Below are 21,933 nucleotides of genomic sequence, written 5' to 3'. Positions count from 1 at the left end.
TAGAAGAGACCATAGGATTTGTCTACAGAAGAAATTCAGTGGCTGGGCGCAGCGGCTTATGCCTGTAATCCCAGCCCTTTGGGAGGCCAAGGCGGGGAGATCACTTGAGGTCAGGAGTTCGAGACCAGCCAACAGGGAGAAACCCCGTCTCCACTAAAAATACAAAATTAGCTGGGGTGGTGGCACATGCCTGTAATCCCAGCTACTCAGGAGGCTGAGGCAGGAGAATCACTTGAACCCGAGGGATGGAGAGCTAGAGGTTGCAGTGAGCCAAGATCGCGCCATTGCACTCCAGCCTGGGCAACAAGAGAAAACTCTGTCTCAAAAAAAAAAAAAAAGAAATTTAGCATGTAGTTCTCCCACCCTCTGCATCGTCCGGGATGCTCTGACAAATGGAATGCCAGTGTCCCTCTTTCCCTGCAGTGACTCCCTCCTCCGTGGGTCCAACACAGAGCTCACGCCGCCCAGGCTCAACACCAGCTTTCAGATCCACCCATGGCCACTGTGTCTCATGGTCATTCTTCAAAGAGTCTGTGTGTTCAGCCTTCTCCTGCCTTCCCAAGTGGAAGCTCTGCTGGCTCGCTCTCTAGTCCTCTTCCTGCTGAGCCAGTCTTCAACCAGGAACCACACTAGAGCCACCAGGACTAGAAAGGCCAGGCCCATCCGAAGGAGATTCTGGGCAGTGTGATCCCAGAGGGCATGGTCTGTAGGCAGGAGAACAGGGTGATCGCTGACAGGGATGTAAGGACACCCTCTTTTTTTTTTTTTTTTTTTTTTTTTTTTTTTTTTTTTTTGAGACAGAGCCTCAGTCTTGTCGCCCAGGCTGGAGTGCAATGGCACGATCTCGGCTCACTGCAACCTCCACTTCCTGGGTTCAAGCTATTCTCCTGTCTCAGCCTCCCAAGTAGCTGGGACTACAGGCACACGCCACCACGCCTGGCTAATTTTTTTGTATTTTTAGTAGAGATGGGATTTCGCCATGTTGGCCAGACTGGTCTTGAACTCCCGACCTCAGATGATCTGCCCGCCTCGGCCTCCCAAAGGGCTGAGATTACAGGTGTGAGCTACTGCGCCTGGCCAAGGACACCCTCTTGTTCCCATTTAGATTCCCTTCCTAGGTCTACTCTATGCCCAGCCCCTTCCTTCAGAGCCTATGGCCCCAGCTGTCTACTTACCTTTCTGGAGTCCCGTCTCTGTGGTTAAAAGGTAGGTGCCCCAAGTGTCTGCTGATGATAAGGGAAGTGAAGAAAAGAGGATGGTTTTGACCTCCTCCACCCCAGCACTCCTTCCCTTGGGTCTACCCCATGACGTTCTGCAGCTTTACAAGGTCCCACCTCACCCTGCGGGTCCCAGGAGCTTCATCCAGCAGGTAAAGTGGAAGGGTCCACAGATGGACGAACCTGACGAGGAATTCCATTCTAGCACTTGTGAGCATGTGTCTTTGCACCAGTCATGTCTTCTATTTTTTTTTTTTTTGAGATAGAGTCTCACTGTGTTCCAGCCTCTGGAGTAGCTGGGACTACAGGCACACACCACATACCCAGGTAATTTTTTTCATATTTTTAGTAGAAACGGGGTTTTGCCATGTTGGCCAGGCTGGTCTTGAACTCCCAACCTCAGATGACCTGCCTGCTTCGGCCTCCCAAAGGGCTGGGATGGCAGGCCTCTGAGGCTGGAGTACAGTGGTGTGATCTCAGCTCACTGCAACCTCCGCCTCCCGAGTTCAAGCAATCCTCTTGCTTCAGCCCCGAGTAGCTGTAATTACTGGCGTGCGCCACCACACCCAACTCATGTTTGTATTTTTAGTAGAGATGGGGTTTCACTGTGTTGGCCAGGCTGGTCTTGAACTCCTGACCTCAAGTGATCCAGCCGCCCCTGCCTTCCAAAGTGCTGGGATTACATGCAGGAGCCACCCGGCCCAGCCCGTCTTCTATTTAAGCCTCATTTTCCTCATTAAGTCATCATTACCTCTTTCTCCTCACACATAGTGAAATTCAAAGTCTCACTATTTTTTTTTCTTTTTCTTTTTCTTTTTCTTTTTTTTTGAGACGGAGTCTCACTCTGTCGCCCAGGCTGGAGTGCAGTGGCGCGATCTCAGCTCACTGCAAGCTCCGTCTCCCGGGTTCACGCCATTCTCCTGCCTCAGCCTCTTGCGTAGCTGGGACTACAGGCGCCCGCCACCACGCCCGGATAATTTTTGTATTTTTTTTTAGTAGAGACAGGGTTTCACCGTGTTAGCCAGGATGGTCTTGATCTCCTGACCTCATGATCCACCTGCCTCGGTTTCCCAAAGTGCTGGGATTACAGGCGTGAGCCACCGCGCCGGGCCTCACTCCTGTAATCCTAGCCGTGCGCCCCAGGCCCATCCCACCGTCATCTTCCAAACATCATTTTCAACCCTCCTGGCCTCATAGTTATTATTGTATTACCCCAGTTATCTTCCTGCCCCAGGGCACAGGCAGATGCCATTTCATTCTCTCCAGAGCCTCCTTTCTCCTGACAGCCACATGATTAACTCAAGTCTGAACGCATTTGCTCAGATGCCTTCTTTCTCTGTGAGGTCCATCTGGACAAACCTATTTAATATTGCTAGCTGCCATTTCAATCACTGTAAGTCTGTTCTACTTTGTCTTTTCCTTCCATAGCATCATTCCCTCCTGTGTGCTATCCTGACGTTGACCGATGGTGTGTCTCCTCCTGCTAGAATCTAAGTGCTGCACAGTCAAGATATCTGCCTGGCTGACTGTTACAGTGTAGTTCACTGTGTATACTATGCACTTGATGAATATATATATATAATAGTTTTGTTTTTGTTTTTCTGTGAGATGGAGTCTCGCTGTGTCGTGCAGTGGAGTGGAATGCAGTGGCGCGATCTCAGCTCACTGCAACCTCTGCATCCCAGGTTCAACAATTCTCCTGCCTCAGCCTCCTGAGTAGCTGGGATTACAGGCGAGCACCACCAGGCCCGGCTAATTTTTGTATTTTTAGTAGAGATGGGGTTTCACCATGTTGGTCAGGCTGGTCTCGAATTCCTGACCTTGTGATCCAACCACCTTGGCCTCCCGAAGTGTTGGGATTACAGGTGTGAGCCATGATGCCCAGCCTAAGTTTTGTATTTTTAGTAGAGACAGGGTTTCGCCATGTTGGCCAGGCTGGTCTCAAACTCCTGACCTCAAATGATGCACCATCTCGGCCTCCCAAAGTGCTGGGATTACAGGCGTGAGCCACCACGCCTGGCCTCGATGAATATTTTGAATGAATGCCACGTTTTTAGTGTCACTGGGAGGCTCTGATCGCTCGTCTGAGCTTAGAAGGACCAGTTACTCACCAGGAAAGGTGGGGTCTTCAGGTGCAAGGCTGGTGTTCTCAATGTCGCCTGGAAAAGGAGATAAAGAAAAAAAAGTAAGGGTTTTTGGTTTCCTCCGGTCTTGCCATTCTTTTTTTTTTTTTTTTTTTTTTGAGATGGAGTCTTGCTCTGTCGCCCAGGTTGCAGTGCGGTGGTATGATCTCGGTTCACTACAACCCCCGCCTCCCGGGTTCAAGCGATTCTCCTGCCTCAGCCTCCTGAGTAGCTGGGACTACAGGTGTCCGCCACTGCGTCTGGCTAATTTCTGTATTTTTAGTAGAGACGGGGTTTCACCGTCTTGGCCAGGCTGGTCTCGAACTCCTGACCTTGTGATCCACCCGCCTTACCATTCCTTTCTCTGTTCCCTCCTCCTTCCTGCTTCTGGTGTTCTTCCTCACATGACCAACCAGGCACCCAGGAAGTGGACGTCCCTTGGACACCCTCCCCATCACTCTCTGGGGATCCCTCAGGGCTCCAGGTAGCACATGGCGGCGAAGGGTGTGGGGAATTGAGCATTTCCTCACCTGTGACCAGGAGCTTCACTGGCTCACTGGGGAAAGACCAGGCATGGTTGTTATAGGAGCCAAAACATCGGTATGTCCCTCTGTGGGCTGTGGTCACAGGGCCCAGGGGGAACTCCGCCTGGACCTTCCCGTATCCGCGCTGTACGTGGCTGGATCTTCCCTCCTTGAGCAGTAAGAACATGCTTGTTGCAGTGTCTAGACGGCAGTAGAAGGTCACCTTCTCTCCCGAGATCACTTCGGGTCCAGGATGAACCGAGAGGGTGGGTGTGTCATACATTTCTATGAGAGAAGGTGGGGCCACCACACCAGAAACTCAGTGATGAGCAGCCAGCTATTTTTTTTTTTCTTTCTTTAGAGATGGAGTCTCTCTCTGTCGCCCAGGCTGGAGTGCAGTGACACGATCTTGGCTCACTGCAACCTCCGCCTCCCGGGTTCAAGCGTTTCTCCTGCCTCACCCTCCCAAGTAGCTGGGACTACAGGGGCCTGCCACCATGCCTGGCAGCCAGCTTTTTTTTTTTTTTTTAATTATTATTTTGGTCAAATACACACAATAGAAGATTTACCGTCTAAAACCATTTTTAAAAATGATACAGGGTCTTGCTCTGTTTCCCAGGCTGGAGCGCCGTGGCACTATCTTTGCTTACTGAAGCCTCGACCTCCTGGGTCAGGAGTTTGAGACCAGCCTGGTCAACATGGTGAAACCCCGTCTCTACTAAAAATGCAAAAATTAGCCGGGTGTGGTGGCACATGCCTGTAATCTCAACTACTTGGGAGGCTGAGGCAGGAGAATTGAGGCTGAGGCAGAGGTTGCAGTGAGCTGAGATTGTACCACTGCACTGCAGCGAGACTGTCTCAAAAAAAAAAAAAAAAGCCCCGGCCAGCCGCCCCGTCCGGGAGGTTGGGGGGCAGCCCCCGCCCGGCCACTGCCCCGTCTGGGAGGTGGGGGGGCGCCTCTGCCCGGCCGCCCCGTCTGGGAAGTGAGGAGCCCCTCTGCCCGGCCGCCACCCCGTCTGGGAGGTGTACCCAACAGCTCATTGAGAACGGGCCATGATGACGATGGCGGTTTTGTCGAATAGAAAAAGGGGAAATGTGGGGAAAAGAAAGAGAGATCAGATTGTTACTGTGTCTGTGTAGAAAGAAGTAGACATAGGAGACTCCATTTTGTTCTGTACTAAGACAAATTCTTCTGCTTTGGGATGCTGTTAATCTATGACCTTACCCCCAACCCCGTGCTCTCTGAAACATGTGCTGTGTCCACTCAGGGTTAAATGGATTAAGGGCGGTGCAAGATGTGCTTTGTTAAACAGATGCTTGAAGGCAGCATGCTCCTTAAGAGTCATCACCACTCCCTAATCTCAAGTACCCAGGGACACAAACACTGCGGAAGGCCGCAGGGACCTCTGCCTAGGAAAGCCAGAGACCTTTGTTCACATGTTTATCTGCTGACCTTCTCTCCACTATTGTCCTATGACCCTGCCAAATCCCCCTCTCCGAGAAACACCCAAGAATGATCAATAAATACTAAAAAAATTAAAAAAAAAAGAATAAATGAGTAGCTGTGTTCCCCTGCCAGAACCTCCAAACAAGGTCCAAAGACCCTGAGCAAATGAAAAGGCACAGACAAAAAATATATATATTTCAACACAAGTATATGACACAGAATATAGAAATAACTTTTCCTAATCAATCAAAATATAAGCAACCCAATTTAAAAATAGGCAAAAGATTTAAATAGACATTTCACAAAAGAAGATATTTGAATGGACATGAAATACTGTTGTGAGCTGCATAATGACATTTTGGCCAACAATGTACCACATATATGATGGTGGTCCCATAAGATTATAATGAAACTGAAAAATTCCTATTGCCTGATGACATCATAGCCTTCCTAGCACAAAGTATTGCTCATGTGTTTTTGGTGTTGCTGGTATAAACAAACCTAATTGTATAGCACATACAATTATGTATGTATATGTAACTATGTATAATACTTGATAATAATAATAAACAACCATATTGTTAAAAAAAAAAAAAAGCTAATTTTTTTTTTTTTTTAGAAAACCACCACCTGGCTGGGTGTGATGGCTCACACCTGTAATCCCAGCACTTTGGGAGGGTGAGGCGGGCGGATCATCTGAGGTCAGGAGTTCGACACCACCCTGGCCAACATGGTGAAACCCCATCTCTACTAAAAATACAAAATGTGGCGTAGTGGTGGGTGCCTGTGATCCCAGCTACTTGGGAAGCTGAGGCTGGAGAATCACTTGAACCCAGGAGGTGGAGGTTGCAGTGACTGGAGATTGCACCACTGCACTCCAGCCTGGGTGACAAGAGCGAAACTCCGTCTCAAAACAGATAAAAAAAAAAAAAACCCACCACCTGTGATGGGTGAGGGAAGCAAAGTGTAAGCCACTGCGCCTGGCCCACAGGCATTGTTTTTGAGGACATTCCTCAGTCATACCCCTGCATACAAATATCTATCTCAGAATCTGTGTCATGGAGAAACTGACTGAGGACACATCTGCTCCTAGGACGTAGAGACACGGTCTGCAGACAACCCCTTGTAGGCAAGGATTGTGATGGGGATCACCCCTCCTTCCAGCCTCCTACCGAGACAAGCAGTGTCTGAGTGGGGCTTGGAAGAGTTCATAGATGATGCTGCATCCCGGATGCAGACTGAGATCACTCTCCAGTTAGAGAACCGGACAGTTACCTGTTACCACCAGATCCAGCAAGTTGCTGGGCTCTGACCAGAGCTCCCCAACCCGATAGATGCAGCTGTATTGCCCTGCCATGCGGGAGTTCATGTCCGGGATGTAGAATTGGACTTTGTTAATCCGCTCAGGGGGTTTTGGTCTGTCCACGGCAAAAAGGCTTCCTTCAAAGTGCAGCTGGTATTCAACAGCCCCATAATTTCCCTGGCAACAGATGGTCACTTGCTTTTCCTTTGGAACCATGAAATGGGGCTCGGCCCAGATGAACGGTTTTGGGAGAGTCTCTGGAAGGGAATCAGAGGCTGGAGTTCCAGCGGAGCCCCCTCCCCCCAACCTTAGGCTCCACCCAGCTGCTGGCCCCAAGCTCTCCTGGGAAGCCAGCACCCTGTCCCCTCACCCCAGCCGTGCTTGGGTGGAAGGAGCTTGGCCTGAATCCGGAAGAGTGACCCTGGGCTTTGAAGGAAGGACTCACGCTGCTGGGCGCTGATCCTCTGACTCAGACACAGCCCTGGAAGACGGGAGTAATGAGACCTGTTGCCTCCCAGGCACACCGTGATCCCATTCCCCTTCCACGCCAGAACTCACCGACGCAGAGCAGGGCAGGGAGTGTGGAAGACATCGCTCAGATTCTGCCGGCCTAGTGCTGAGCAGTGGGGACTGAGCCGGGCGGGCCAGGGAGATAGATACACAGGAAGTGGTGGGTGAGCACCAGCGCCCATCACCAGAGCGCTTTCACGTTGACTGCTTTCATCAGAACGTTCACAACTCCCCTCCGCCTCTGACCATGAGCTTACAGAAAGGCCGTGGTCCCTCTGACACATCTGTGGTCTAGCCAGCAACTCTGACAATTGTCTGCTCAGCCCAAAATGCATTTCTGGGTCAACTTCTCAATTCTGCAATGTGGAGGTCGTACCCAGAGCTGACTGTGGGAAGTTGTGCCCAATCATGCCCAGAGGAAACCCCCTGAGAATCGTATAAAAACATAGGGAGTTTCACAGTGAGATACTGGAACAGGAATTAAAAGAAATTACAGAATGTGTAAACAAAAACTCAGTTGTATTTAAGAAAACCCAGTTCCCCCCGAGGAAGAGAAAGAGGTGGAGTCCTTTAAACATGAACTGCCTGTTTTTCTGTCTGTGGCTAGTGAGCCTTATCTCTCCCTTTCCCAGGCATTGTGAAGACCCTGTTTCTCTTGCCGTGCGGCTGCAAGGTCACTAGACAGGATAACCTCAAGTCGTAAAACATATTTTTCTTGAAAAGTAAGGAATAATGTGATGCATGTCTCAATTGAATAACTGCCTTTGTTTCTTGCTTCTGTAATATGCTTCCCCCTGCACAGATCTCCCCCAACCCCACAAAATGCTTAAAAGGTAACCGGACTCTCTGTTCGAGCCTCAGTCTTTTTGGATGTTAATCTGACTGGGGCCGGTGCACCTAAATAATAATAATAATAATAAATCCTCCTCAACCCCTCGGTCTCTCTGATTCCTAAATTATCCCTCAACAATACCATCTCACACCAGTCAGAATGGCCATTACTGAAAAGCCAGAAATTAACAGATGCTGGTGAGATTGTGGAGCAAAGGGGACACTTATACACTGTTGGTGGGTGTAAATTAGTTCAGCCACTGTGGAAAGCAGTTTGGTTTGGAGATATTTCAGAGAACTACAAACAGAGTTACCATTCAGCCCAGCAATCCCATCGCTGGGTATATAGCCAAAGGAAAATAAATCATTCTACCAAAAAGACACATGCACTTGTATGTTCATTGCAGCAGGATTCACAATAGTGAAGACATGGAATCCACCCAGGTCCCATCAGAGGTGGACTGGATAAAGACAATGTGATATGTATACACCACAGAACGCTATACAGCCTTGAAAAATCACAAGATTATGTCCTTTGCAGCAACATGGATGCAGCTAGAGGCCATTATCCTAAGCGAGTTAACACAGAAACAGAAAACCAAATACTGGCCAGACACGGTGGCTCAGGCCTGTCATCCCAGCACTTTGGGAGGCTGAGGCAGGTGGATCACCTTAGGTCGGGAGTTCGAGACCAGCCTGACCAACATGCAGAAACCCTGTCTCTACTAAAAATTCAAAATTAGCCGGGTGTGGTGGCACATGCCTGTAGTCCCAACTACTCGGGAGGCTGAGGCAGGAGAATTGCTTGAACCTGGAAGGTGAAGGTTGCAGTGAGCCGAGATGGTGCCATTGTACTCCAGCCTGGGCAACAAGAGTGAAACTCCATCTCAAAAAAAAAAAAAAAAAAGAAAAGAAAACCAAATACCACATGTTCTCACTTATAAGTGAGAGCGCTAAACATTGGGTAAGGAGGGGAGCAAGGCTTGAAAATCTACCTATTTGGTGACTAGATCATTAATGCAAGCCTCAGCATCATGCAATATACTCATAAAAAACCTGCACATGTATCTGCTGAATCTAAAAAGATAAAAATAGGGGTTTTGACGTTGGCTTCTCTGTGTACAGTATACATATGCTTGGATAAGTTAATTGGTTTCATCAGAATGGAATGATAACACTATCTTCTTCAAAGATAGTGTTATAATGTTTCAATAAAATAAAAGTGAAAAGAAAAGCTTTTCATTTAAAGAACTTAATAAGAAAAGAAACATTTCTTTTCTTTTTCTTTTTCTTTCTTTTTTTTTTTTTTTTTTGAGACAGAGTCTTGCTCTGTTGCCCAGGCTGTGGTGCAGTGGTGTGATCTCAGCTCACTGCAACCTCTGCCTTGTGGGTTCAAGCAATTCTCCTGCCTCAGCCACCTGAGTAGCTGGGACTACAGACACCCAACACCACGCCCAGCTCATTTTTGTACTTTTAGTAGAGACCGGTTTTTACCACGTTGGCCAGGATGGTCTCCAACTCCTCACCTCAAGTGAATCTTCCTGCCTCGGCCTCTCAAAGTGCTGGGATTACAGGTGTGAGCCACCACACCCAGCCAAGAAACATTTCTTTTAAGTAAGTAACTAACTCTCCACTTAATAAAAAAAAATTCTATGCAGAAGTTGTTAAGATCTACAGTAAGAAAAAAGAAATTCATGCATTTTATATATACACACATATATACATATATACCTTTTATATATATACACATATATACATTTATACATATATGTATACATATATACATATATGTGTATATATACTGCATAGTACCGTACATGTATATATACACATGCATATATACACATACATGTATATGCGTATATATACACATATATGTATATATACACACATGCATACATGCATATATATGTATACACACATGTATGCGTGTATACATACATATATGTATATACATACATGTATCCGTGTATACATACATATATGTATATACATACATGTATGCGTGTATACATACATGTATGCGTGTATACATACATATACATATATGTATATACATACATGTATATATACATGTATGTATATATGCATATATGTATATACATACATGTATATATACATGTATGTATACATATACGTATATGTGTATATATGTATATACATATATATATACATGTAAGGTACTATGTAGTTTTCAGCATCCACTGGGGCCTTGGAATATATCCTGGTGGATACATGTGACTACTGTACAAGACTAGTTGTATCTTCTTGAGGCAAACAAATGTGCTAATTCTTTTTTTTTTCTCTTTAAGACGGAATCTCACTCTGTCCCTCAAGCTGGGGTGCAGTGGTGCAATCTCAGCTCACTGCAACCTTCACCTCCTGGGTTCAAGCAATTCTCCTGTTCTAGCCTCCCAAGTAGCTGGGATTACAGGCGTGTGCCACCACACTCGACTAATTTTTGTATTTTTAGTAGAGACAGGGTTTCCCCATGTTGGCCAGGCTAGTCTCGAACTCTTGACCTCAAGTGATCAGCCCACTTTAGCCTCCCAAAGTGCTGGGATTACAGGCGTGAGCCACCACACCCAGCCCGCCTCCTTCTTATTTACTGAAGATTCAGTACTCGGTGCTGGCGTTTCCCCTTACACAGCTGTCATAACTCTGGGTGTTTTCTTTATCCTTCCCCCTACGGAGCGCTTGGATGCCCTCTATGGAGGAGACTTATGTAGGCTGGATCCTCAGACCTCAGCCACCCTCTCAGCCATAACATAGTTACCTTCACCAAAGAAATATAAGAATATTGTCTTTTATTATTTTGAGCTTTTAATTTTGACATAATTCCAGACTTGCAAAAATAGTTTAAAGAATTTCTGGCCAGGTGCAGTGGCTCACACCTGTAATCCCAGCACTTTGGGAGGCCGAGGTGGGTGGATTGCTTGAGACGAGCCTGGGGGAAAAAAAAATGCAAAAATTAGCCAGGTGTGGTGCTGTGCGCCTATAGTCCCAGCTACTTGGGAGGCTGAGGTGAGAGGGTCATCTGAGCCCAGGGAGGTAGAAGCTGCAGTGAGCCATGATCGTGCCACTGCACTCTAGCCTGGGTGACAGAGTGTTACCCTGTCTATAAAAAAAAAAAAAATCTGTAATTTCTTCATCCAGATTTCCCCAAAGTTAGCATTTTACCACATTTGCTTCATCATTCAGCCTCTCTCCCTCTCCCTCTCTCCCCGAAGAAAGTGTGTCTAATTTGCATATGATGCCCTAAACCTCTAATCACTTCAGGTTATATTTCCCAAAACCAAGGACATTCTGTTATTAATGTTCAAGGTCAAGAAATAGCACTGATATGACACTATTGTCTGATCTATCCACTTTATTCAAATTTCACCACTTGTTTTACCAGTGACATATATTTGGTTTAGGATTTAATCCAAGATTACACAATTTATTTAATTGTCATGTCTCTCTTATTTGGAGATGGAATCTTGCTCTGTAGCCCAGGCTGGAGTGCAATGGTGTGATCTCAGCTCACTGCAACCTCCGCCTCCTGGGTTCAAGCAATTCTCTTGCCTCAGCTTCCTGAGTAGCTGGGATTAGAGGCACCCACAACCACGCCCAGCTAATTTTTGTATTTCTAGTAGAGATGGGGTTTCGTCAAGTTGGCCAGGCTGGTTTTGAACTCCTGAACTCAACTGATCCACCTGCCTCAGCCTCCCAAAGTGCTGGGATTAGAGGCATGAGCCACCACGCCCAGCCTCCTTTAAAAAATAAAACTATAGACTTTATTCTGATTTCACCAGTTTTTCCACTAGCATCCTTTCTTCGCTCCAGGAGCTCCAGTGATCCGCCTGCCTCAGCCTCCCACCTGCCTCGGCCTCCCAAGGTATTGGGATTACAGGTGTGAGCCATCTGGATCTATTTAATTCAGCCTTAAGCCCACACCAGCATTCCTGGGACTGTCCCCCCTCTACAGACTCTAAGCCATGTTTGAGATGATGAATTTCAAGTCGTGATTCAATCACTTAAGTGGTAAGTGACACAGAGGATATTACTAATCTTTTTTTTTTTTTTTTTTTTTTTTGAGATGGACTCTCGCTCTGTCACCCATGCTGGAGTGCAGTGGCGCAATCTCGGCTCTCTGCAAGCTCTGCCTCCGGGGTTTATGCCATTCTCTTGCCTCAGCCTCCTGAGTGGCGCAATCTCGACTCACTGCAAGCTCTGCCTCCCGAGTTTATGCCATTCTCCTGCCTCAGCCTCCTGAGTAGCTAGGACTACAGGTGCCCACCACCACGTCCGGGTAATCTTTTTTTTTTTTTTTCAAAGTAGAGATGGGGTTTCACCATGTTAGCCAGGATGGTCTCCATCTCCTGACCTCGTGATCCGCCCTTCTCGGCCTCCCAAAGTGCTGGGATTACAGGCGTGAGCCACCGCACCCGGCCTTTTTTTGGTATTTAAAAATATAACTTTATTGAGATATAATTTACATGCCATACAATTACCCATTAAAAGTGCATAATTCAATGGTTTAAATTTTGTGGTATTCACGGAGTTGGTGCAACCGTCAACACAGTCTAATTTTAGAATGTTGTCATCACTGCCCTTCAGAACCCCATGCCGACCAGCTGCCCATCACCACGATCCCCTCACTCTCCCGGCCCTAGGCAACCACTCATCTTCTGTCTCTAAACACCAGAAGGTACTTTTCAAAAATTGTGGCAAAATACACATAACATACATTTTAATATTTAAGAAGTTTTCTAAGGCCAGGTGCAGTGGGTCATGCCTGTAATCCCAGCACTTTGGGAGGCCGAGGTGTGCGGATCACCAGGTCAGGTGATCCAGACTGTCAGGCCTCTGAGCCCAAGCTAAGCCATCATATCCCCCTGTGGCCTGTATGTACACATCCAGATGGCCGGTTCCTGCCTTAACTGATGACATTCCACCACGAAAGAAATGAAAATGGCCTGTTCTTGCCTTAAGTGATGACATTATCTTATGAAATTCCTTCTCCTGGCTCATCCCGGCTCAAAAGCTCCCCTACTGAGCACCTTGTGAACCCCACTCCTGCCCGCCAGAGAACAACCCCCTTTTGACTGTAATTTTCCTTTACCTACCCAAATCCTATAAAACGGCCGCACTCCTATCTCCCTTTGCTGACTCTCTTTCTGGACTCAGCCCGCCTGCACCCAGGTGAAATAAACAGCCTTGTTGCTCACACAAATCCTGTTTGGTGGTCTCTTCACACGGACGTGAGTGAAATTTGGTGCCATAACTCGAATCAGGGGATCTTCCTTAGGAGATCAATCCCCTGTCCTCCTGCTCTTTGCTCCATGAGAAAGATCCACCTACGACCTCTCGTCCTCAGACCAACCAGCCCAAGGAACATCTCACCAATTTTAAATCCAGTAAGCAGCCTCTTTTTACTCTCTTCTCCAACCTCTCTCACTATCCCTCAACCACTTTCTCCTTTCCACTCTTCAATCTCTCCCTTCTCTTAATTTCAGTTCCTTTCCTTTTCTGGTAGAGACAGGAGACGCGCTTTATTCGTGGACCCAAAACTCCAGCGCCGGTCATGGACTCGGGAAGGCAGCCTTCCCTTGGTGTTTAATCACGCGGGGACACCTCTCTGATTATTCACCCACGTTTCAGAGGTGTCTGACCACATGGGGATGCCTGCCTTGGTCCTTCACCCTTAGTGGCAAGTACTGCTTTTCTGGGGGGGCAAGAACCCCCAACTCCTTCTCTGTGTCTCTACCCCTTCTCTGCTTTTCTGGGGGGGCAAGAACCCCCCAACCCCTTCTCCTTCACCCTTAGTGGCAAGTACCGCTTTTCTAGGGGGCAAGAATCCCCCGATCCCTTATTTCTGTGCCCTGACGTCTTATCTCTGCACCCCGATCCCTTATTTCCACACCCCGACCTCTTGTCTCTGCACCCCAATCCCTTACTTCTGTGCCCTGACCCCTTTCCCGCTTTTCTGGAAGGTAAGAACCCCTGAACCCCTTCCCTCCATGTCTCTACTCTCTCTTTTCTCTGTGCTTGCCTCCTTCAGTATGGGCAACCTTCCACCCTCCATTCCTCCTTCTTCTCCCTTAGCCTGTGTTCTTAAAAACCTAAAACCTCTTCAACTCACACCTGACCTAAAACCTAAATGCCTTATTTTCTTCTGCAATGCTGCTTGACCCCAATACAAACTTGACAGTGGTTCCAAATAGCCAGAAAACGGCACTTTCAATTTTTCCATCCTACAAGATCTAAATAATTCTTGTTGTAAAATGGGCAAACGGTCTGAGGTGCCTGACATCCAGGCATTCTTTTACACATCGGTCCCTCCCTAGTCTCTATGCCCAGTGCAACTCGTCCCAAATCTTCCTTCTTTCCCTCCCGCCTGTCCCGTCAGTCCCAACCCCAAGCATCGCTGAGTCTTTCTAATCTTCCTTTTCTACAGACCCATCTGACATCTCCCCTCCTCGCCAGGCCGAGCTGGGTCCCAATTCTTCCTCAGCCTCCGCTCCTCCACCCTATAATCCTTTTATCACCTCCCCTCCTCACACCCGGTCCAGCTTACAGTTCCATTCCATGACTAGCCCTCCCCCAACTGCCCAGCAATTTCCTCTTAAAAAGGTGGCTGAAGCTAAAGGCATAGTCAAGGTTAATGCTCCTTTTTCTTTATCTGACCTCTCCCAAATCAGATAGTGTTTAGGCTCTTTTTCATCAAATTTAAAAACACAGCCCAGTTCATGGCTCATTTGGCAGCAACCCTGAGACGCTTTACAGCCCTAGACCCTAAGTCAAAAGGCCGTCTTATTCTCAATATACATTTTATTACCAAATCTGCTCCCAACATTAAATAAAGCTCCAAAAATTAAATTCTGTCCCTCAAACCCCACAACAAGACTTAATTAACCTCGCCTTCAAGGTGTACAGTAATAGAGTAGAGGCAGCCAAATAGCAACATATTTCTGAGTTGCAATTCCTTGCCTCCACTCCAGTATCCAGATGAGACAAACCCCAGCCACATCTCCAGCACACGAGAACTCCAAACGCCTGAACCGCAGCTGCCAGGGGTTCCTCCAGAACCTCTTCCCCCAGGAGCTTGCTACAAGTACTGGAAATCTGGCCACTGGGCCAAGGAATGTCCACAGCCTGGGATTCCTCCTAAGCCGCATCCCATCTGTGCGGGACCCCACTGAAAATCGGACTGTTCAACTCACCTGGCAGCCACTCCCAGAGCAGCTAGAACTCTGGCCCAAGGCTCTCTGACTCCTTCCCAGATCTTCTCGGCTTAGCAGCTGAAGACTGACACTGCCCGATCCCGATCGCCTCGGAAGCCTACAGGACCATCACAGACAGTCTAGGTAACTCTCACAGTGGAAGGTAAGCCCGTCCCCTTCTTAATCAATATGGAGGCTACCCACTCCACATTACCTTCTTTTCAAGGGCCTGTTTCTCTTGCCTCCATAACTGTTGTAGGTATTGACAGCTAGGCTTCTAAACCTCTTAAAACTCCCCAACTCTGGTGCCAACTTAGACAATACTCTTTCAAGCACTCCTTTTTAGTTATCCCCACCTGCCCAGTTCCCTTATTAGGCTGAGACACTTTAACTAAATTATCTGCTTCCCTGACTATTCCTGGACTACAGCTATATCTCATTGCTGCCCTTCTTCCCAATCCAAAGCCTCCTTTGTGTCCTCCTCTTGTATCCCCCCACCTTAACCCACAAGTATAGGATACCTCTACTCCCTCCTTGGTGACCAATCATGCACCCCTTACCATCTCATTAAAACCTAATCAACCTTACCCCGCTCAATGCCAATATCCCATCCCACAGCATGCTTTAAAAGGATTAAAGCCTGCTACAGCATGGCCTTTTAAAGCCTATAAACTCCCCTTACAATTCTCCCATTTTACCTGTCCTAAAACCAGACAAGGCTTACACATTAGTTCAGGATCTGCACCTTATCAACCAAATTGTTTTGCCTATCCACCCCGTAGTGCCAAACCCATATACTCTCCTATCCTCAATACCTGCCTCTACAACCCATTATTCTGTTCTGGATCTCAAACATGCTTTCTTTACTGTTCCTTTGCACCCTTCATCCCAGCCTCTCTTCGCTTTCACTTGGACTGACCCTGACACCGATCAAGCTCAGCAAATTACCTAGGCTGTACTGCTGCAAGGCTTCACAGACAGCCCCCATTACTTCAGTCAAGCCCAAATTTCTTCCTCCTCTGTTACCTATCTCGGCATAATTCTCATAAAAACACACGTGCTCTCCCTGCCAATCGTGTCCTAGTGATCTCTCAAACCCCAGCACCTTCTACAAAACAACAACTCCTTTCCTTCCTAGGCATGGTTAGCGTGGTCAGAACTCTTACACAAGAGCCAGGACCGCACCCTGTAGCCTTTCTGTCCAAACAACTTGATCTTACTGTTTTAGCCTAGCCCTCACGTCTGTGAGCAGCGGCTGCCGCTGCTTTAATAGTTTTAGAGGCCCTCAAAATCACAAACTATGCTCAACTCACTCTCTACAGTTCTCATAACTTCCAAAAATCTATTTTCTTCCTCACACCTGACGCATATACTTTCTGCTCCCCGGCTCCTTCAGCTGTACTCACTCTTTGTTGAGTCTCCCACAATTACCATTGTTACTGGCCCATACTTCAATCCGGCCTCCCACATTATTCCGGATACCACACCTGACCCCCATGACTGTATCTCTCTGATCCACCTGACATTCACCCCATTTCCCCACATTTCCTTCTTTCCTATTCCTCACCCTAATCACATTTAGTTTATTGATGGCAGTTCCACCAGGCCTAATCGCCACTCACCAGCAAAGGCAGGCTATGCTATAGTATCTTCCACATCTATCATTGAGGCTACCGCTCTGCCCCCTCCACTACCTCTCAGCAAGCCGAATTAGTTGCCTTAACTCAAGCCCTCACTGATGCAAAAGGACTATGCATCAATATTTATACTGACTCTAAATATGCCTTTCATATTCTGCCCCACCATGCGGTCATATGGGCTGAAAGAGGTTTCCTCACTACACAAGGGTCCTCCATCTTTAATGCCTCCTTAATAAAAACTCTGCTCAAGGCCGCTTTACTCCCAGAGGAAGCTGGAGTCATTCACTGCAAAGGCCATCAAAAGTCATCAGATCCCATTGCTCTAGACAATGCCTATGCTGACAAGGTGGCTAGACAAGCAGCTAGCTTTCCAACTTCTGTCTCTCACATCTATGCTTATGCTGATAAGGTAGCTAGACAAGCAGCTAGCATGCCAATTTCTGTCCCCCACAGCCAGTTTTTCTCCTTCTCATCAGTCACTCCCACCTACTCCCCCACTGAAACTTCCACCCATCAATCTCTTCCCACACAAGGCAAATGGTTCTTAGACCAAGGAAAATACCTCCTTCCAGCCTCACAGGCCCATTCTATTCGGTCGATATTTCATAGCCTCTTCCATGTAGGTTACAAGCTGCTAGCCCATCTCTTAGAACCTCTCATTTCCTTTCCATCCTGGAAATCTATCCTCAAGGAAACCACTTCTCAGTGTTCCATCTGCTATTCTACTACCCCTCAGGGATTGCTCAGGTCCCCTCCCTTCCCTACACATCAGGCTCGGGGATTTGCCCCCGCCTAGGACTGGCAAATTGACTTTACTCACATGCCCTGAGTCAGGAAACTAAAATACCTCTTGGTCTGGGTAGACACTTTCACTGGATGGGTAGAGGCCTTTCCCACAGGGTCTGAGAAGGCCACCGAGGTCATTTCTTCCCTTCTGTCAGACATAATTCCACAGTTTGGCCTTCCCACCTCTATACAGTCTGATAGCAGACCGGCCTTTATTAGTCAAATCAGCCAAGCAGTTTTTCAGGCTCTTGGTATTCAGTGAAACCTTTATATCCCTTACAGTCCTCAGTCTTCAGGAAAAGTAGAACAGACTAATAGTCTTTTAAAAACACACCTCACCAAGCTCAGCCACCAACTTAAAAAAGACTGGACAATACTTTTACCACTTTCTTTTCTCAGAATTCAGGCCTGTCCTCAGAATGCTAAAGGGTACAGCCCATTTGAGCTCCTGTATAGACGCTCCTTTTTATTAAGCCCCAGTCTCATTCCAGACACCAGACCAACTTGGAATGTGCCCCCAAAAACTTGTCATCCCTACTATCTTCTGTCTAGTCATACTCCTATTCACCATTCTCAACTACTCACACATGCCCTGCTCTTGTTTACACTGCTGGTTTACACTGTTTTTCCAAGCCATCACAGCTGATATCTCCTGGTGCTATCCCCAAACCACCACTCTTAACTCTTGAAGTAAATAAATAATCTTTGCTGGCAAGGCTATGCTGAACCTCCTTAGGCACTCTCTAATTAGATGTCCTAGGTCCTCCCAATTCTTAGACCTTTAATACCTGTTTTTCTCCTTTCCTTATTCCATTTAGTTTTTCAATTCATACAAAACTGCATCCAGGCCATCACCAGTAATTCTAAATGAAAAATGTTTCTTCTAACAATCCCACAATATCACCCCTTACCACAAAATCTTCCTTCAGCTTAATCTCTCCCACTCTAGGTTCCCACGCCGCCCCTAATCCCGCTCGAAGCAGCCCTGAGAAACATCGCCCATTCTCTCTCCATACCACCCCCCAAAATTTTCGCCATCCCAACACTTTACCACTATTTCGTTTTATTTTTCTTATTAATATAAGAAGACAGGAATGTCAGGCCTCTGAGCCCAAGCTAAGCCATCATATCCCCTGTGACCTGCACGTACACATCCAGATGGCCGGTTCCTGCCTTAACTGATGACATTCCACCACGAAAGAAATGAAAATGGCCTGTTCCTGCCTTAACTGATGACATTATCTTGTGAAATTCCTTCTTCTGGTTCATCCTGACTCAAAAGCTCCCCTACTGAGCACCTTGTGACCCCCCACTCCTGCCCACCAAAGAACAACCCCCCTTTGACTGTAATTTTCCTTTACCTACCCAAATCCTATAAAACGGCCCCACCCCTATCCCCCTTCGCTGACTCTCTTGTCGGACTCAGCCTGCCTGCACCCAGGTGAAATAAACAGCCTTGTTGCTCACACAGAGCCTGTTTGGTGGTCTCTTCACACGGACGCGCATGAAACAGACCAGCCTAGCCAACATGGTGAAACCCCGTCTCCACGAAAATACAAGAAATTAGCCGGGCGTGGCGGTGCGCACCTGTAGTTCCAGCTACTCGGGAGGCTGAGGCAGGGGAATCACTTGAACCTGGGAGGCGGAGATTGCAGTGAGCCCAGATCACACCAGCGTAGCGACAGAGTGAAACTCTGTCTCAAAAAAAAAAAAAAAAAAAAAAGAAAAAGAAGTTTTCTAAGGCCAGGCGCAGTGGCTCATGCCTGTAATCCAAGCACTTTTGGGAGGCTGAGGCGGGCAGATCACCTGAGGCCGGGAGTTCGAGACCGGCCTGACCAACATGGTGAAACCCTGTCTCTACTAAAAATACAAAAATGAGCTGGGCATGGCGGCGGGTGCCTGTAATCCCAGCTTCTTGGGTGCGGGGGGGATCTGTTCTGCAGATCCCAGCTGTACGACAGATGAGACACGTCCTCAGACACCAATATTCAGTGAAAGAGCAGGCCAGGGGGCTGCCGGCACTAGGAGCCAAAGAGAGTGCAGCCCCTCTAAGCTGGCAACGCTTGCATTTATTTAGCACAGATTTAATTAACAAAGGCTTTGAGTCAACACACCTGTGGGTAATTAACCTGGTCACCGCCCCCCGCCACCTCCCTGGAGAGGGCCATCTTGCCCGAGAATGATCAAAGGTTGATTTTAGGACCATATGACTAAGCAAGCTATTTAGATAAAATACTCCGCATTCCTTTGTATCTGCGCCCTAAGCTGTTTGGCTCCTGAAAAGAGAATCTGGCTGCTTTCAGCCAAACTATCTGAAGCTATGCCAACCTCCCTGGCCTTCCAAGAAGGTTTGCTGCTTCCTATTCCTATAATTTCTTCTGCTACTCTGACTGATCTCCCACACTTGGGAGGTTGAGGCAGGAGAATCCCTTGAACCAGGGAGGCAGAGGTTGCAGTGAGCCGAGATCACACTACTGCACTCCAACTTGGGTGACAAGAGCGAGACTCCATCTCAGAAAAAAAAGTTAAAAAAAAATTGTAGGCCAGGCGTGGTGGCTCACGCCTGTGATCCCAGCACTTTGGGAGGCCAAGGCGGGTGGATCACCTGAGGTCCAGAGTTCGAGACCAGCCTGACCAACATGGAGAAACCCCGTCTCTTCTAAAAATATAAAATTAGCCAGGCGTGGTGGCGCATGCCTGTAATCCCAGCTGCTCTGGAGGCTGAGGCAGGAGAATGGCTTGAGCCCAGGAGGCGGAGGTTGCGGTGAGCCGAGACCGCACCATTGCACTCCAGCCTGGGCAACAAGAGTGAGACTCTGTCTCAGAAAAAAAAAAAAAAAAATTGTAGTAAAAACATAACATACAATTTACCATCTTAGCCATTGTAAGTGTACAGTATAGCAGTGTTAAATGTATTCACGGTGTTTTGAAACAGATCTCCAGAATATTTTCATCTTGTAAAACTGAAACTCTATGCCTAAAAGAGGAATCGTTCAACACATAGAAGTTTTATTTCAACCATTTTTGTTGTTGTTGTTGAGATGGAGTCTTGCTCTGTCACCAAGGCTGGAGTGCGGTGGTACGATCTTGGCTCACTGCAACCTCCGCCTCCTGGGTTCAAGCCATTCTCCTGCCTCAGCCTCCTCAGTAGCTGGTAATGCAGGTGCGTGCCACCACACCTGGCTAATTTTTGTATTTTTAGTAGAGACGGGGTTTTGCCATGTTGGCCAGGCTGGTCTCGAACTCCTGGCCTCGTGATCTGCCTGCCTTAGCCTCCCAAAGTGCTGGGATTTCAGGTGTGAGCCACTGCGCTCAGCCTGGGAAATGTATACTTCAGAGATTGTTGGATTTTCAGGGCCTTCTGTGGCTTGACGTCATCTGGAAAAGTGTGGTCATTGGGAAGATATTACTTTGATTGGTTGTCACTCATGCTTGGGTGTTTACTGAAATGAGTCTGATTGGATGACTTTTAGAAGCAAGGAGCTGCCTGACTGATGGTAACATAACAATATAAAACGTATGGAGTGGCCGGGCTTTGTGGCTCACTCCTGTAATCCCAGCACTTTGAGAGGCTGAGGCAGGCAGATCACCCTGAGGTCAGAAGTTTGTGACCAGCTTGGCCAACATGGCGAAACCCGTCTGTACTAAAAATACAAAAATTATCTGCGTGTGGTGGCAGGTGCCTATAATCCCAGCTACTGGGGAGGCTGAGGCAGGAGAATTGCTGAACCCGGGAAAGAGAGGTTGCAGGGAGCCGAGGTCACGTCACTGCTCCCCAGCCTGGGTGACAGAGCAAGACCCCGTCTCAAAAAAAAAAAAAAAAAAAAAGAGCATCTTCACAGAGATGAGTTGTCATTGATGATGGGTTAAAAATCAGTTTTGGTGGCTACTTGTTACTGTGGTTACAGGACAATAAAATACTTTTCTGAAGAGCTCAGGAACTTTATTATTCTGAAAACGCTTTTTCCAAACAAGGTCCTTCTGTCAGCAAAACGACTTATATGAGTTTAATCTTATCCATCTCTGGGAATCTAGCCCCATTGTGTCTCTGTAATCCAAGTCCTGGACCTGACGTAAAGTCCCTCAACCCCCTTCATCCAAAATTGTGGCACTTTCCCTTTATTTATTTATTTATTATTTATTTGTTTGTTTACTTTTGAGACGGAGTCTCGCTCTGTGGCCCAGGCTGGAGTGTAGTGGCGTGATCTCAGCTCATTGCAAGCCCCGCCTCCCAGGTTCACGCCATTCTCCTGCCTCAGCCCCTGGAGTAGCTGGGACTACAGGCACCTGCCACCACACCTGGTGAAAAAAATCAGAACAAACTGAAGATATGGGCCAGAACTT

General features: G+C 47.5%; 1 protein-coding gene across 8 annotated transcripts in view, besides 2 other annotated features; it reads right to left on the bottom strand.

The window, feature by feature from the left end:
• NCR1 (natural cytotoxicity triggering receptor 1) overlaps positions 1-15,196 on the bottom strand; it is a 40,011-nt gene extending 24,815 nt beyond the window's left edge. For 2 of the 8 annotated variants that reach the window (XM_011527530.4, XM_011527529.4), the window contains exons 1-5: positions 7,173-7,246; positions 7,060-7,095; positions 6,587-6,871; positions 3,871-4,149; positions 3,329-3,376 (exon numbers count right to left, since the gene is read on the bottom strand). In XM_011527530.4, coding sequence (XP_011525832.1) covers positions 3,329-3,376; positions 3,871-4,149; positions 6,587-6,871; positions 7,060-7,095; positions 7,173-7,206 — 682 coding nt within the window. In that variant the 5' untranslated portion in view covers positions 7,207-7,246. Of the gene's footprint in view, positions 1-320; positions 705-1,175; positions 1,227-3,328; positions 3,377-3,870; positions 4,150-6,586; positions 6,872-7,059; positions 7,096-7,172; positions 7,247-15,163 lie in introns of those variants that run through there. The other 6 variants (NM_004829.7, NM_001145457.3, NM_001145458.3 and 3 more) reach the window with 6 other exon arrangements.
• Positions 19,252-20,004: an enhancer, noted in NCBI's record as "OCT4-NANOG-H3K27ac-H3K4me1 hESC enhancer chr19:55404756-55405506 (GRCh37/hg19 assembly coordinates)". NCBI's record gives its function as "activates a minimal SCP1, AML or CMV promoter by ChIP-STARR-seq in naive and primed H9 embryonic stem cells {active_cell/tissue: H9 hESC(naive and primed)}" and the evidence as "EXISTENCE:reporter gene assay evidence [ECO:0000049][PMID:30033119]".
• Positions 20,005-20,755: an enhancer, noted in NCBI's record as "NANOG-H3K27ac-H3K4me1 hESC enhancer chr19:55404005-55404755 (GRCh37/hg19 assembly coordinates)". NCBI's record gives its function as "activates a minimal SCP1, AML or CMV promoter by ChIP-STARR-seq in primed H9 embryonic stem cells {active_cell/tissue: H9 hESC(primed)}" and the evidence as "EXISTENCE:reporter gene assay evidence [ECO:0000049][PMID:30033119]".

Source organism: Homo sapiens, chromosome 19, assembly GCF_000001405.40.
Source record: "Homo sapiens chromosome 19, GRCh38.p14 Primary Assembly".
In the NCBI taxonomy this organism is placed as follows: Eukaryota; Metazoa; Chordata; class Mammalia; order Primates; family Hominidae; genus Homo; species Homo sapiens.
The sequence above is the reverse complement of the archived record's forward strand: the minus strand, read 5'-3'. Positions and strand labels throughout refer to the sequence as shown.